This window comes from Homo sapiens, chromosome 19 (genome assembly GCF_000001405.40).
Source record: "Homo sapiens chromosome 19, GRCh38.p14 Primary Assembly".
NCBI classification, from domain to species: Eukaryota; Metazoa; Chordata; class Mammalia; order Primates; family Hominidae; genus Homo; species Homo sapiens.
Genome location: NC_000019.10, coordinates 19,102,332 through 19,117,944, shown reverse-complemented (window position 1 = coordinate 19,117,944; position 15,613 = coordinate 19,102,332). Strand labels below are relative to the sequence as shown.

The 15,613-nt window shown below is 54.2% G+C and overlaps 1 protein-coding gene across 2 annotated transcripts in view, besides 2 other annotated features; it reads right to left on the bottom strand.

Moving 5' to 3' along the window:
• Nucleotides 4,691-4,985: an enhancer, noted in NCBI's record as "tiled region #5014; K562 Activating DNase matched - State 8:EnhW". NCBI's record gives its function as "activates a minimal TATA promoter and a strong SV40 promoter by Sharpr-MPRA in K562 cells {active_cell/tissue: K562}" and the evidence as "EXISTENCE:reporter gene assay evidence [ECO:0000049][PMID:27701403]".
• The window catches only part of SLC25A42 (solute carrier family 25 member 42), a 49,037-nt gene continuing 38,338 nt past the window's right edge, over nt 4,915-15,613 (bottom strand). For both annotated transcript variants that reach the window (NM_178526.5, NM_001321544.2), the window contains exons 4-8: nt 13,007-13,032; nt 12,218-12,384; nt 11,560-11,676; nt 9,900-10,051; nt 4,915-7,376 (exon numbers count right to left, since the gene is read on the bottom strand). In NM_178526.5, the coding sequence (NP_848621.2) occupies nt 7,069-7,376; nt 9,900-10,051; nt 11,560-11,676; nt 12,218-12,384; nt 13,007-13,032 (770 nt within the window). In that variant the 3' untranslated portion in view covers nt 4,915-7,068. The remainder of the gene's footprint in view (nt 7,377-9,899; nt 10,052-11,559; nt 11,677-12,217; nt 12,385-13,006; nt 13,033-15,613) is intronic.
• Nucleotides 7,325-7,514: a silencer, noted in NCBI's record as "silent region_10431". NCBI's record gives its function as "represses an Ori minimal core promoter by ATAC-STARR-seq in GM12878 lymphoblastoid cells {active_cell/tissue: GM12878}" and the evidence as "EXISTENCE:reporter gene assay evidence [ECO:0000049][PMID:35858748]".

Sequence of the window (15,613 nt, the reverse complement as noted above, 5' to 3'; positions counted from 1 at the left end):
TTTTTTGAGATGGAGTCTCGCTCTGTCGCCCAGGCTGAAGTGCAGTGGCGCGATCTCGGCTCACTGTAAGCTCCGCCTCCCGGGTGCACGCCATTCTCCTGCCTCAGCCTCCCGAGTAGCTGGGACTACAGGCGCCCGCCACTACGCCCGGCTAATTTTTTGTATTTTTAGTAGAGACGGGGTTTCACCGTGTTAGCCAGGATGGTCTCGATCTCCTGACCTCGTGATCCGCCCTCCTTGGCCTCCCAACGTGCTGGGATTACAGGCGTGAGCCACCGCACCCGGCAGTGTGTGTGTATTTTTAATAGAGATGGGTTTCACCATGTTGGCCAGGCTGGTCTGGAACTCCTGGCTTCAAGTGATTCACCTGCCTCGGCCTCCCAACGTGCTGGGATTACAGGCCTGAGCCACCGCGCCCACCGCGCCCGGCCAAACATTTAAATTCTTGTTGATGTATCCATTGTAACCACCATATCCGTGCCTCTCACAGGACGGGGTGGTTCTGCTCCAAAGGAACACATGTTGATGTCTGGAGACATCTTTTAGTTGTCACCACAAGGGGTGGAGGTGTTGCTCTTGGTGTCTGAAGAATGGAGGCCAGAGATGCTGCTCAACACCGTGTGGTGCCCAGGATGGCCTCACCCCAGAGGATTATCAGCGCCAAATGTCAGCAGTGCTGATGTTGTGAAGCCCTATGGGTGAAGAAACGGAATATACCATTTCCAGACAAGCCGAAACAAAATAAAAAGGGGAAATAAAACTCATAGATAAAACAAAATATAACCTTCAACTTTTAAAATAGTAAAATAGTTTTTAAAATTATTTGTAGAGGGCTGGGTGCAGTGGCTCACGCCTGTAATCCCAGCAGTTTGAGAAGTGGAGGTGGGCAGATCTCTTGAGCCCAGGAGTTCATCAGCTCGGGTGACATAGCAAGACCCCGTCTCTACAAAATATAAAAAATTAGCCAGGCATAGTGGCCCACGCCTGTAGTCGCAGCTACTCGGGAGGCTGAGGTGGGAGAATCACTTGACCCTGGGAGGTTGAGGCTGCGGTGAGATGTGATTGTGCCACTGTACCCTAGCCTGGGTGACAGAATGAGAACCCTGTCCCACCAAAAAAAAAAATTATTTATAGAGACAAACTCCAGGTCTCAAGTGATCCTCCTGCCTCAGCTTTCCAAAGAACTGGGATTACAGGTGTGAGCCACCATGCCTGGCCATAAATTAACTGGTTTTTGTTGTTGTTGTTGTTGTTTTGCGACAGGGTCTGGTTCTATCACCCATGCTGGGATGCAGTGGTGCCATCTCGACTCACTGCAACCTCCACCTCCCAGACTCAAGCCATCCTCCCACCTCAGCCTCCTGAGTAGTGGGGATTACAGGCACGTGCCACCATGCCCGGTATTTTTTGTAGAGACAAGGTTTCACCATGCTGCACAGGCTGGTCTTGAACTCGTGAGCTCAAGTGATCCAGCTGCCTCGGCCTCCCAAAGTGCTGAGATTAAAGGCATGAGCCACCGCACCCGGCTGAGATACCATTTTTTACTTGTCAGATTATGGAAGATCAAATATGGGTGAGTATGTGGTATAAATCTATATGATCTATTTGCAGGAATACCTGGCATTCCTATTCCTTTTTGGATAGGTTTCCCCCAAAGATGACCCCAAAAGGACTCAGAGCTAGTGGTTTACCTGGGAGGTGTCCCCAGGCAGCCCCCATGGCGGGTGAGAGCTGAGACGAGGAGGGAAGATGCCCTGCAGGGGGCACCAATGAGCAGGTGACACTGTGGGCAACCAGGCTCAGTCCTGCTGTGGGCCTTAGCGGGGCAGGGTAGAGCAATTATCTCAGGATGATCCCACGTCCGGGCATGGGTTAAGCTACTTACACACCTACCTTCAGTCATCAGCCGCCGGTTGCACCTGGGGTACCATGTTGTGTTTCTTCAGGACACTCCTAGGCTGCGCGGAATTGTTTATAGCAAAAAGCATTTGGTGGCCAGGTGTGGTGGCTCACATCTGTAATCCCAGCACTTTGGGAGGCCGAAGCGTTCAGATCATCTGAGGTCGGGAGTTCAAGACCAGCCTGGCCAACATGGTGAAACCCCGTCTCTACTAAAAATATAAAAATTAGCTGGGCGTGGTGGCGGGCATCTGTAATCCCAGCTACTTGTGAGGCTGAGGCAGGAGAATCACTTGAACCTGGAGGTGGAGCTTGCAGTGAGCCGAGATCGCGCCACTGCACTCCAGCCTGGGCAACAGAGCAAGACTCCGTCTCAAAAAAAAAAGGACTCCTGAAGCTCTTCTTGGACGCAGCTAGCAAACATCTTCTTCACTGTCACTAGTCTAGACAGGTCCACGGGCTCACCTCTATACTGTTAGGAGATGCCACAGTGGTGGGTGGGAGAGGGGAGGGGTTGACCAAGGTTCAGGGGCTGGTGTGAAACGTGGAACTTAGATCAGAAATCTGGGCTGGATGTCAGAGGCGGGGTGCAGATGAGTTCAGCAGCCCCCACCAAATTGCTATCACATTGTCATGGCAATACCTAACAATTGCCCATCCATAAGGGGAACTGAGGGCTCACCTGATTAGACCTACCAATCTTAACTTACCTCACTTGTTTTTAGTTGATTATAAACCCCATAGTGTTAAAAGTCACTCAGCTAAACAATGTATAGCTAAACTCCCAGGCCAGGTGTGGTGGCTCACGCCTGTCATCCCAGCACTTTGGGAGGCCAAGACAGGCAGATCACTTGAGCCAGGAGTTAGAGACCAGCCTGAGAAATATGGTGAGACCCCATCTCTACAAAAAATACAAAAAGTAGCCAGGCGTGGTGGCATGTACCTGTAGTCCCAGCTCCTAGGGGGGCTGAGGTGGGAGGATGGCTTGAGCCCAGGAGTTGGAGGCTGCAGTGAGCCATGGTAGTGTCACTGCACTCCAGCCTGGGCAATAGAGTGAGACCCTGTCTCAAAAAAAAAAAAAAAAAAAAGAAAAGAAAGACAGAAAAATAGGCTGGGCACGGTGGCTCAAGCCTGTAATCCCAGCACTTTGGGAGGCTAAGGCGAGTGAATCACCTGAGGTCAGGAGTTTGAGACCAGCCTGGCCAACATGGTTAAACCCCGTCTCTGCTAAAAATACAAAAAATTAGCCGGGTGTGGTGGCGGGCGCTTGTAGTCCCAGCTACTTAGGAGGCTGAGGCAGGAGAATCGCTTGAACCCGGGAGGTGGAGGTTGCAGTAAGCCGAGATCATGCCATTGCACTCCAGCCTGGGCAAAAAGAGCAACACTCCGTCTCAAAAACAAAGAAACAAAACAAAACAAAAAAACCCAAACAAAAAAACTCCCACTAGTTTCCTTATAGATAATATCTCTATGTATGGGCCACCATGGTAATGGTTGCTCAAGTTGTTCTTCAGGAACAGGATCAGTTCTTGTCCAATCCAAATGGGCTGAGAGCCGAACCTTCACCTTGGCCTGTGTATATTTAGGTGGTGACCTTTGACGTTAGAGGGCCAAACACTCCACCCTCAGATCATGATAACAATGTCATTTTGTGAACACACATCCTATGGAAAAGCCATGAAGCTTGACTACGCACGCACGGTTCCCCGACTGCCCCACTTTTCCCCACGTCTCTGACCACCTTGCTCCTCTATCCCTTAAATATTCCTAAAATCCCATCTTCAGGGAGGCGGATTTGAGATCTGTTCTCCTGTCTCCTCACTCGGCTGCCTCGTGAATAAACTCTTTGCTGCAAAACCTGTCATCTCTGTTGGCATACTGCTGGGCAGAACGAGCCTGGTTTGGTAACATAAGGGAGGCGTGAATTTCTGAGTGGCTGGGACTACAGGCACGCACCTCCAAGACTGGCTAATTAAAAAAAAATTTTTTTTTGAGACGGAGACTTCTCAGTCACTCAGGCTGGAGTGCAGCGGCTCACTGCAACCTCCGCCTCCCAGGTTCAAGCAATTCTCCTGCCTCAGCCTCCTGAGTAGCTAGGATTTTTGTACTTTTAATAGAGATGGGGGTTTCAGCATGTTGGCCAGGCTGGTCTTGAACTCCTGACCTCAAGTGATCCACCTGCCCTGGCCTCCCAAAGTGATGGGATTAAAGGCGTGAGCCACTGCATCCGGCCTAATTTTTCTATTTTTTTGTAGAGATGGGGGGTCTTACTGTGTTGCCTAGGCTGGTCTCAAACTCCTGGGCTCAAGCAAGCCACCTGCCTCAGTCTCCAAAGTGCTGGGATTACAGGCATGAGCCACCACACCCACCCTGGTAAATGTCATCCTGGGGATCCTCTAGGAGAAAACCGCACAGCTGCTGAACAATGTGCACAACGGAGACCAACTCAAAAGAAATCCTGTTGCACGTGAGCAGATTGGAGAGCAGTGGGGGGTCAGCGCAGTGGAACTTATTCCTACTCCCACCCCAACAAGAGCACCAGGCCTGTGCTGGCCCAGCCGCCCCTCCTCTCTGGGCACGCAGAGGCTCCCACTTCTGGCCTGGCAGTGGGTGGGTCCTCCAAGTTGCTCTGGCCAATGGGCTGCAGGTGAAGTGAGCCAGGATTGCCACTGGAGACCCTCTGGTGGCTGCCCCTGCAGATGGTGACTGACGTTCAGGCCTGAAGCCTCAGCCAGCCCCAGAGTGCAGGGCTCTTGGGAAGGAAGGCCATGTTCAAGCCCATGAGACTTTGGGCTGTGCTGGCTGCACAGAGACGGCCCCTCCTGCCTTTGTGGGTGGCCACATATATCCTGAAAGGGATGAGTGTATGCACAGAATCTCTGTGGGAGGAGACAAGAGAAAATGGTCACAGGAGGCCCCCTGCAGAGGGAACTGTTCACCTACTTTTCACTGTAAACCCTTGTGGACAGCTGGTGTTTTCTGGAAAATTGTGGTATGTATTAATTCAAACAACAATTGCATTTAAAAACTTCTTTATTCAAGACTTTTATTCAGAACTTTTATCACAAATGTGTCAAAAGCACTTCAACCCTGTTTGGGGGTTCATGGGGGAAGATGGGGGGGCGGTCAGAGCCAAAGAAGAGCCAGGAGCAGGAGAAGAAGTCATTTAAGTTTTTATTAAATATACTCTCTTGGCACAAATCTTTAAAATATATAAACATTAGATATAAACAGTGTCTTCATGGCATCAAAATATAACTCCAGACCAAGACCAGTGACCAGCAGGGAGGCGAGTGACCGCAGAGCCTGAGGGCCTGGCTGTGTGCAGGGGTGGGGGACAGCACTGTCCCCAACTCCTGCCGGGTCCCACTCAGCTAGGAGCCATCTCCGGGGAGACACACTGGGGTCAGCAGGGACTGGGGGACCCTCCCACCTACCCCTTGTCTCTCCTGCCTAGCCTGTGGCCCCAAATCCACTCATTTGGTCTCACCCACCTGGGGCAGACCCCCAATTCCTACTGCTGTTGCATGCTTGTGGGAGTTGGGTGCCCTCCCATCTCCCTGTGAGGGTTGCCCTGCCTCTCCTGCCAAGTTTAAGTGCTGGGTAAGGGATACCCACACAGTGGGACAGCCCCTCACAGCCATCACAGGCTGCCTGGGCCTCTGGGGACAAGATCAGGGATGGCTGGTGGCCACATGCAAGGAAGGCAGAGAGAGCGGTCTGCACACCTGCAGGTCCAAGGCAAGAACAGGAGGAGGACAGAAGGAAGGGAAATGAAGTCACGACTGGAGATGAACAAGCTCAGATCCCTTCACACAGCGTGTGCTGAGCCAGCTGTCGAAAGCAACACTCACGGTCACGCTCACCCTGGCACCAGGCAGACCAGTCAGGGGTTCGATGTGAATAGATCATAGACCCGGGGTCAGCCAAGTTGAAAACCAAAACAAAACAAACAAAAAAAAGAAATCAAGAAACTCACCATGTCATTAGGAAATGGGTGTTTCTGAGTCCCTGTGATAGCTGGCGGGCCCTGGGGGACTCCTCTGAGAGACCAGTTAGCTGGGGGTTCCCCTGGGTACCTCAGATTTTCCTCACCTCCCACCCCCAAGCTATACTCTATCATGAGGCTCCCACTTCGGGGGATTGAGGCTAGCAGGCACCCCATGCTCCATTTCATAGAAACTGAACAACCCCTGTGGGCTTTAAATTGCTCCATATCCCAGCCAAGTGCCTGCTCAAGTGGGGACCCAAGGACCTGCTGGATACCACAGCTGGGCAGAGGGTTGGGGCACTGAGATGCTAGGCCTGGGGGGCTTCTGGGCCAAAGGAGGTGGTTTGTGTGCTCACATTTCAGCAGATGCCCCAGGATGCAGGTCTGACCCAAACCTGAGGCAGTTCCGTGTCATGGCCTGGGCCTCGAGCCCTGCTGTGCAGAGCAAGCATGAATCTCCTGGGAAGGTTACAAAGCAGGTGGGCATGGGCAGGCAACTCTAGGGGGAGATGCACTCTTGGGGACCCAGCTGCTTGCAGGGTCTAGGATAGACATGAGGCTCTGGGGGACACTGTTCCCAGCAGGAGGCTCTAGTGACTGAGGAGTCGTGGCCATGTGGGAAATACTGGAGAAGGCAGGGCCGGCAGGGTGGGGTGGGCCAGGGGCTGCATTTGTGGCCAAAGCTGAGCACGAGGCTGGCCCCATCCTGGGCAGGGTCCGCCTGCAAGAAAGGCGCCCCCGCACCCTGGAGGCCGGGCAGGCACGTGGAGTCAGAACAAGAAGGTCCAGGCGCGGTCTGGCTCTGAGCCTGGTGGGGACAGGGGTCACTAGAATCAGCAGCATGTCGGAGGACACACAGGATCAGGAGGTGGAGCTGACCACGCCCCACTAGGGCCTTTTGGGCAACACCTCCGGCAGACAGCGCCAGCGTCTGCAGAGGAAGGAAGAGGGGAGCTGCGGGACCCCCCACACCATCGCCCCAACACTGCACTTCCAGGGCTGCCAGCTTTGCGTTTGGACGTGGACTCTGAGCCCAGGCCCCTCAGGCCCACCTGCTCGTTCCATAAAGCGCCCCATGTGCCTCCTGAAGTAGAATCAAGCGCACCCCCCCACCGTTCCATGGGCCCAGAATACAAAGGGGTCACCGGTCCACCGTCCTGAGAGCAGCTCAGGGTCCCCTAGCTCTGCAGGTGCCGCAGCAGGATCTGCATGAGGTCGAAGGTGGTGAAGCTGATGCCCACGGCGATGGGACCCTTGACCCAGTTCATGCTCAAGCCTTTGTAGAGGCCGCGCACGGCGCCCTCCTCCCGCACGATGGTGCGCAGCGTGCGGGCGATGGAGGCGCGCGGGTAGCCCGTGACGCCGGCCGTCTGCATGCGCCGCCGCACCACATCCAGCGGGTACGAGGCCGACTGCCCGATGAGGCCAGCGCAGGCGCCGAAGATCATGCGCTCGAAGGGGTAGGGCTGCCGGCGGCCGCTGTACTCTGCAGGGCGAGGGGCGGGAGGGCCGTGAAGGCGCCGCGAGGGGGCGCGCACCCCGCACCCGTGCGCGCGCCTTTGCACCCCTAGGAGCAACCTGCGTGCACATACACACATGCACTTGCACCCCCACGTGTGTTCGCACTCATGCGCACCCACACGCCCCACTGCCTCACCTCCGGGTCGCTCCTTTCACTCAAACTCGAGAAATAAAAAAAATTTTTTTTTTGGAGATGTAATTTCACTCTTGTTGCCCAGGCTGGAGGGCAATGGCCCAATCTCGGCTCACTGCACCCTCCGCCTCCCGGGTTCAAGCAATTCTGTCTCAGCCTCCAAAGTAGCTGGGAATACAGGCATGCACCACCACGCCTGGCTAATGTTGTATTTTTAGTAGAGACAGGGTTTCTCCATGTTGGTCAGGCTGGTCTCAAACTCCTGACCTCAGGCGATCTGCCTGCCTCGGCCTCCCAAAGTGCTGGGATTACAGACATGAGCCACCGAGCCCGGCCGAGAAATAAAATTTCTTAAAAGGCAGAAACACAGAGAATCATAGAACCAACTCCTAGAGCCACTGCTCACATCTAATCAGCTCTACTCCACGTCTAGTAAAGGAACATTCTAGGTGCTCCCGTGCCTGGTCCCCGACCTGCGCCCTCCCTGGGGAGCCCCTGCGAGCTGTTGCACAGAGTGGACATAAGTGACCATGAACTTCACCCTGCTCTGTCTTGCGGGTCTAAACGGGGTGTGTGGGTGTGGAGGAGGAAGGAGCAGCAACAGGTCAGTAGGGGTACTTTAAACATTTGTAATAGTAAATTTAGAACTAGGAATTTAAAACAGCCAAGGCTGGGTGCAGTGACTCACGCCTGTAATCTCAGCACTTTGGGAGGCCAAGGCAGGCGGATCACTTGAGCCCAGGAATTGGAGACCAGCCTGGCCAACATGGAGAAACCCTGTCTCTACCAAAAACACACAAAAATTAGCCAGGTGTGGTGGTGGGCGCCTGTAATCCCAGCTACTAGGGAGGCTGAGGCAGGAGAATGGCTTGAACCCAGGAAGTGGAGGTTGCAGTGAGCTGAGATCGTTCCACTGCACTCCAGCCTGGGCGGCAGAGTGAGACTCCGTCTCAAAAAAACAGCCAGACAGGAGACACTGTGATCTGCTCACCAGGTGGGCAAAAACAAGGGGTCTGATGGCATCACGTGGGGTGAGAACGTGGGGTCAAGGGGCTGGAAAGCACTCCAGAGAGAAACACCGAAAATGGGGTTTTACAGTCACACAAGGAGACGAGCTCCTGGATGTCGGCTGATCACAGAAAACCTGGCAACAGCCAAAGGGCACCCCAAGAAGGTAAGGCCCACTGTGCAGCCACTAAAAAGGCGGAACAGAGCACAGATGCTGGTGGATGCACCCCAAACCAGCTGAGCTGGGAGCTGCACTCCCGGGTGAGCTGACTCCACTTGGAGCATTTTTTATACCTGTGAAAGGTGACATGGTTTTGTTCATGCCACAGATAAATACATACAGAAGTATTTTCAAAGCAGTCTTGAGGGGTGCAACCCTCACTTCTAATAAGAGGCCTCAGGAGAGAGACTTGGGCCCTCAGCGTTACCCCTAACATTTTATTTCTTTGACAAAAAATGTCTGGGAGTGGGCTGAGTGCAGCGGCTCACACCTTTAATCCCAGCACTTTGGGAGGCCAAGGCAGGAGGATCGCTTGAGCCCAGGAGTTTGAGACCAACTTGGGCAACAGAGGGAGACCCCATCTCTACAAAAAAGAAAAAAAACAAAATATCTGGGAGCAAATGTAGCAAAATGTGAATGCCTGTTCACATGCAGTGGCAGGTATGAGTATTATATCATTCTTTGTACTTTTTGATTTTCTCCCAACTACCAAAACAAGCAAGAGTACTTCCTTTCCATCTGGGTTTTACCCATATGCTTTGCGTGTGTGCTCGTGAAGAGGTGAGGTATCAATGCTCTAGGTGACACACTGGGCTTCCCAGAGTCACTTTTTTTTTTTTTCTTGAGACAGGGTCTCACTTTGACACCCAGGCTGGTGTGCAGCAGTGAGATCACAGCTCACTGCGGCCTTGACCTCCCAGGCTTGGGTGATCCTCCCACCGCAGCCTCTCTAGTAGCTGGGACCACAGGTGTGTGCCACCATGCCTAATTTTTTTGTATCTTTGGTAGAGACGGGGTTTCGCCATGTTGCCCAGGCTGGTCTGCAACTCCTGACCTCAAGTGATCCGCCCACCTCGGCCTCCCAAAGCACTGGGATTACAGGCACGAGCCGTGGCACCAGCCAGAGTTCCTCTCACTTAGGCATTTAAGGCAGTGAGTCCAGGTTCCTCAGTGGCGGCTGCACACAGTGTGTTTTCTCCCGATTTGGATGTGGGTCTACAGCCTGCCCCACCCAGGGGTCGTACCCCACTCCGCCTGGTCTCCAGGTCTATGTGACCCAGGTGGAGCTGCTGTCCCCAGGGAATGCTTCCTGAACGTCCCCTCCTCATGCTCCCAGCTCTCCTTACCTCTGTGCAAGCTCTTGAGCGTCTCATAGGTGAAGAAGCTCAGGCCAGCGTAGGGAATGACCCCCAGCACGGTGGGCATAAATCCATGGTAGAGAGTCTTCAGCCCCTCTTCTCTCGAGATGCGGATGAAGACATGAAAGATGTTGCTGTACCTGCCAGGACAGAGCAGCCCAGCAGGTGGGACTCAGGCCTCCCAGGCACAGGGAGGAGCCACAGAGGCTCTCGGCTCCTCCCGAAGCCGGCTGGGCCTGGGTGTGTCTGGATGTTGATGTTTTCCTTCTTCTTCAAGACATATAACCCCATCACTCAAGCTTTGTTATTAGAGGGGAAATGCATGCGTAAGCCCAGACTCCACCTTCGCCACGGGAAGCAAGTGCTCAGCCCTTGTCTTTTTTTTTGTTTCTTTGTTTTTGTTTTGAGACAGTCTCCCTCTGTTGCCCAGGCTGGAGTGTAGTGTCACAGTCTTGGCTCACTGCAACCTCTGCCTCCTGGGTACAAGTGATTCTCCTGCTTCAGCCTCCCAAGTAGCTGGGATTACAGATACATGCCAGCAGACCTGGCTAATTTTTTATTTTTAGTAGAAATAGAGTTTGCCATGTTGACCAGGCTGGTCTTGAACTCCTGACCTCAGGTGATCCACCCACCCCAGCCTCTCAAAGTGCTGGAATTACAGGCGTGAGCCACCATGCTCGGCCTCTATTCTTACACTTTTTTTGTTTTTTTTTTTTTGGAGACAGGGTCTCACTCTGTGGACCGGCTGGAGTGCAGTGACGTGATCATGGCTCACTGCAGCCTCAAGCTGCGAGACTCAAGCAATCCTCCTCCCTCAGCTTCTGGAGCAGCTGGGATCACAGGCGTATGCCATCACATCAGGCTAATATTTCAGTTTTTGTAGAGATGGGGTCTTGCTATGTTGCCCAGGCTGGTCTCAAACTCCTGGGCTCAAGCGATCCTCCTGCCTTGGCCTCCCAAAGTGCTGGGATTACAGGCATGGGCCACCGCACCTGGGCCCAAGCCCGGTCTATTCTTACACATTTTTCATGATCATGGTATCTTCCTTGAATTAAGCATTCTAGTCTCAGACTTTTTTTTTTTTTTTTTTTTTTTTTTTGAGAGACAGAGTCTGGCTCTATTGCCCACACTGGAGTGCAGTGGCTCGATCTCGGCTCGCTGCAACCTCCGCCTCCCGGGTTCAAGCAATTCTCCTGCCTCAGCCTCCCAGGTAGCTGGGAGTACAGGTGCGTGTCACCACGCCCGGCTAATTTTTGTATTTTTAGTAAATACGGGGTTTCACCATGTTGCCCAAGCTGGTCTCAAACTCCTGACCTCAAGTGATCCGCCCACCTCGGCCTCCCAAAGTGTTGGGATTACAGGCGTGAGCCACCGTGCCCGGCCGTATTCTTACATATTTTTACTGCATCTGTGCCCAGTTCAAAATGAAGACCCTTGGTTTGATCTAAGCAGAAAGTGACCCCCAGGCTAAGAGAACAAATTGCTGCCTTTCTGGAACAGCTGCAGAATGACACATCAGGCCTGCCCTGTGGACACGGAGGCCCAGATGCAAACCCCTGGGGCCCGATAGAGAGAGGGATTCCGACCTGGGAGCCCCCGAGACACAGAGCCCCCGGGGCTGATGCGCATCACCGATGTAAGGACTCACATTTCCTTCGGGGTTACGGCCATCCGCGCTCTGACCAGGTCCAGGGGGTAGGTCAGTGAAGCGGCTGTCGTTCCAGCCAGTGCGCCGGCGAAGAGGCGAGGCCAAGGGGGCAGGGCTCTGAACAGGGCAGGAGGAGAAGGCGAGACGGCAGTGAGGGGGTTGCAGATGCACAGAGGCCCAGCCTGGAGCACCCGCACGTCTCTGCTGGGGCGGGGACAGGGGTGGGGACCGAGGAACACGAGGCGGGTTTGGCTTCCTCCTGGCCAAGCTGATGGGGTCTCTGGAGTGGGCCTCATTTTGAGGTTTACATGGCTGCCTTCCCTTCCCCCCTGCTGGCATAAATTAATGATGCGTATTTTCCCTACGGCCCTGGGGGCATAGTAACCTGCCCCTCTGGGATTTATGCGTGGGGGTGGAGAAACGTCTGGAGACAAACGGGCAAAGGAGAGGAGCTCTGAAGACAGAATAGGGCATGTGACAGAGTCAGGGGGTCCCTCAGGAGGGCCTGGGTGAGGAGTCTCCCAGTGTTTCGTTGTGGGAAGAGGGAAGGCAGGGCTAGGGGCAAGGCACGAAGAGGAGGGAGCGGGGCGTGCAGAAGAAAGAGAGAGGGGCGGGCGTGGGCGGGGCGATTCTGTGGCAGGGCGGGGCGGGGCCTCACTCTCCACGGAAGCCATAGTAGCTGCCCAGGATGCGCTTGTACTCCTCGTGTGCGCTGAACTGGATGGCGGCGTAGGGCACCACGCGCACCATGGTGGCCGAGTTCCCGCGCCACAAGCTGAGAAATCCCTCGTTGAGGTAGGTGTAGTAGAGGACCCGGAAGGCCTCCTGGAGATAAGCGGGAAGGTCAACATCCCTCTGCCTCTGCCTGCCCTCCCTGCGGGCCTCTGTGACCAGCAGAGCGCCCAAAGTGCGGAGGCGGGGCCGGGGTGACCCCATCTCCATGCACAGCACATAACCCCACCCCCATGTGAGGGCCCCACCCCGATTTGTCCAGACTGACATTATCAACCCCAGCCCCGTCCTTCCTCCCTATGTTTTCTGGGCCTCCCACCCCACCAAGTTCTCTTGGGGACTGCAAAGCGAACCAGGCTGCAAAGCAGCTCGGAGCCCTGCCCAAGGGCATGTCTGTTGGTGTTTGGCATCCCAGCTTTTACAGTTTATCTTTTCCTTTATTAAGAAAGTAGCACCTGCTCTCTGTTTAACAATAAATCAAACATGAAAAGGTTGTTTTAGAGCTGTTGAGTCTCCCCACCCCACTGCCGGAAGGACACTCGGGATGTCCCGTCAGTTCCCAGGCTGGGCTGTGTCCAGGCAGAGCTGGGAATGGGAAGACAGGTAGTCCTGTCCCCACCCCTGAGACTCTCCTCAGACCACCTGCCTAACTCCTGCCAGCCCATCAGGGTAGTGGTGACTGTCCCCAGGCCGGGGCGGTGACATAGTGGCTCACCTTGGCAGAAAATCTTTTTGAAGACACTGGAAAAAACAAAAGCACAAAAGCCACTGAGATGCAAAGGACAGAACCTCCCATCTGCGTGGCCCCACCCCTGGCACCCACTAGCAGAGTCACCCTCCTTTTCCCCCCAATCTTGTCCCAGGAATGGGAGCTGAGCTGACACCCAAGCCCCAGAATAGTGAGGGTCTCCATTGAGAGGAGAACGTGTCTGAGATGGGTTGACACTCAGCACCCTGCCCCTGGACTAGACTACCATTCACCCAAACCCCTGCAGGGAAGGTGTCCCAGCCTCCAGGCACTTGGGTCTCAGCTGAGAAGCCCTGGCTCTCTCAGAACAAGGCCTGCAGGGGTCTACATGTGGGGTCTGCCCTCTCTCCCGGACATGCCCCTCCCAGGGTCCCAGCACAGGCACCGCTATCCTGCCTCTCCCACCCCCTGTGGCTGCCAGGTTCCCTTTCTGGCTCTGTGCTGCCCTTGGGCATGGGGGACCCGAGCCATGGTGGGCCATAAGCACTCTTGGGAGAGACCCAGAAAAACAGGCCACAAACGGTCACCAGGAGCCTCTGACGTGGTCTGGCAGCCCGCCTCCCTCACCCCTCACCACCCACCACTTGTGTGTGCAACATGCATGCATGCCTGCTGCCTCAAGGGTTGAACCCCAGTTCCCTGCAGAACACAACACCCTGCACCTGCTCATGCGCACTTAAAGGGGCCTGCCCTGGCCAGGTGCAGTGGCTCAAACCTGTAATCCCAGCACTCTGGGAGGCTGAGGCGGGTGGATCACCTGAGGTCAGGAGTTCGAGACCAGCCTGGCCAACATGGTGAAACGCTGACTCTACTAAAAAAAAGTACAAAAAAATTAGCCAGGCATGGTGGCAGACTCCTGCAATCCCAGCTACTCGGGAGGGTAAGGCAGGAGTATCGCTTAAATCCAGGAGGTGGAGGTTGTGGTGAGCCGAGATCGCACCACTGCACTCCAGCCAGGGGGACAGAGAGAGACTCTGTCTCTAAATAAATAAATAAATAAATAAATAAATAAATAAATAAGGCTGTCCCTTTCGAAGGCCTGCCAGCTCACTGGATGCCCATGCCAGCCAAGGAGGAAGCGGATATCCATGCCTCCACTTTACGGAGGAGGAAACTGGGACACAGAGAGGGTAGGGGATCGGCTCAAGGTGGTGGGAAGGGCCTGGCTCAAGCCTGCAGATTCTTCCCAAACAGCTGAGGGGCAGAGGGCCCGGGCCGTAACCATCTTGCTTCTGGGCCCTAGGCAGGAACTGGTAACTGTTTGAAGGGGGCAAAGGCCACCTCTTCAGAGGACCCTGTGACTAACCCTAGCGAGGGAGGGCGAGGGTTTCTGTTGAGGGTTTAATTTCTGTCCTCTGAAAAGCTATGTCTGAGTTCTAACCCCTAGTCTCCAAGAAGGTGACCTTATCTGAAAGCAGGGCCTTTGCAGATGTAATAGAGTTAAGGTAAGGTCATACTGGGTTAGGGTGGGCCCTAAATGCGAATTGGTGTCCTTATAAGAAGAGAAAACAGGCCGGGCGCGGTGACTCATGCCCATAATCCCAGCACTTTGGGAGGCCAAGGCGGGTGGATCACTTGAGGCTAGGAATTCAAGACCAGCGGGGCCAACGTGTCGAAACCTGTCTCTACTAAAAATACAAAAAAATTAGCCAGGCGTGGTGGTGCGTGCCTGTTGTCCCAGCTACTCGGGAGGCTAAGGCAGGAAAATTGCTTGAACTGGGGAGATGGAGGTTGCACTGAGCCAAGATCACACCACTGAACTCCAGCCTGGGTGACAGAGCTAGGCTCTATCTCAAAAACAAACAAACAAACAAAAATAAATAAATAAAAGAGAGAGAGAGAAAACAGACACACAGGGGAGAAGGCCACGTGATGACAGAGGCAGAAATTGGAGCCATGCGGCCACAAGCCAAGGAGAACCAGGAGCCCCCAGAAGCCGGAAGAAGCAAGGAAGGATCCTCCCCTAGAGCCTCTGGAGGGAACGCAGCCCTGCCCACACCTTCACTTCAGACTTCTGGCCCTAGGACTGTGAAAGAAGAAATTCCTGTTGTTTGAGGCCACCTGGTTTGTGGTGCTTTCTGACAGCAGCCCCAGGAAACTCGTACAGATTCGAAGTGGATTTTATTATTTATTTATTTATTTATTTATTTATTTATTTATTTTTGAGACAGAGTCTCTCTGTCACCCAGGCTGGAGTGCGATGGCGCGACCTTGGCTGACTGCAACCTCCGCCTCCCAGGTTCAAGCGATTCTCCTGACTCAGCCTCCAGAGTAGCTGGGATTGCAGGTGCCCGCCACCATGTCCAGCTAATTTTTGTATTTTTAGTAGAGGCGGGGTTTCACCATGTTGGCTAGGCTGCTCTCAAACTCCTGACCTCAAGTGATCTGCCTGCCTTGGCCTCCCAAAATGCTGGGATTACAGGCAAGAGCCACTGCGCCAGGGCCTCTGAGTGGATTTTAAAGAGGCATTAAAAAAACCCAATTGAGTGCAGTGGAGCACACCCATAGTCCCAGCTACTTGGGAGGCTTAGGCAGGAGGATCACTTGAGCCCAGGACTTTGAAGCCAGCCTGGG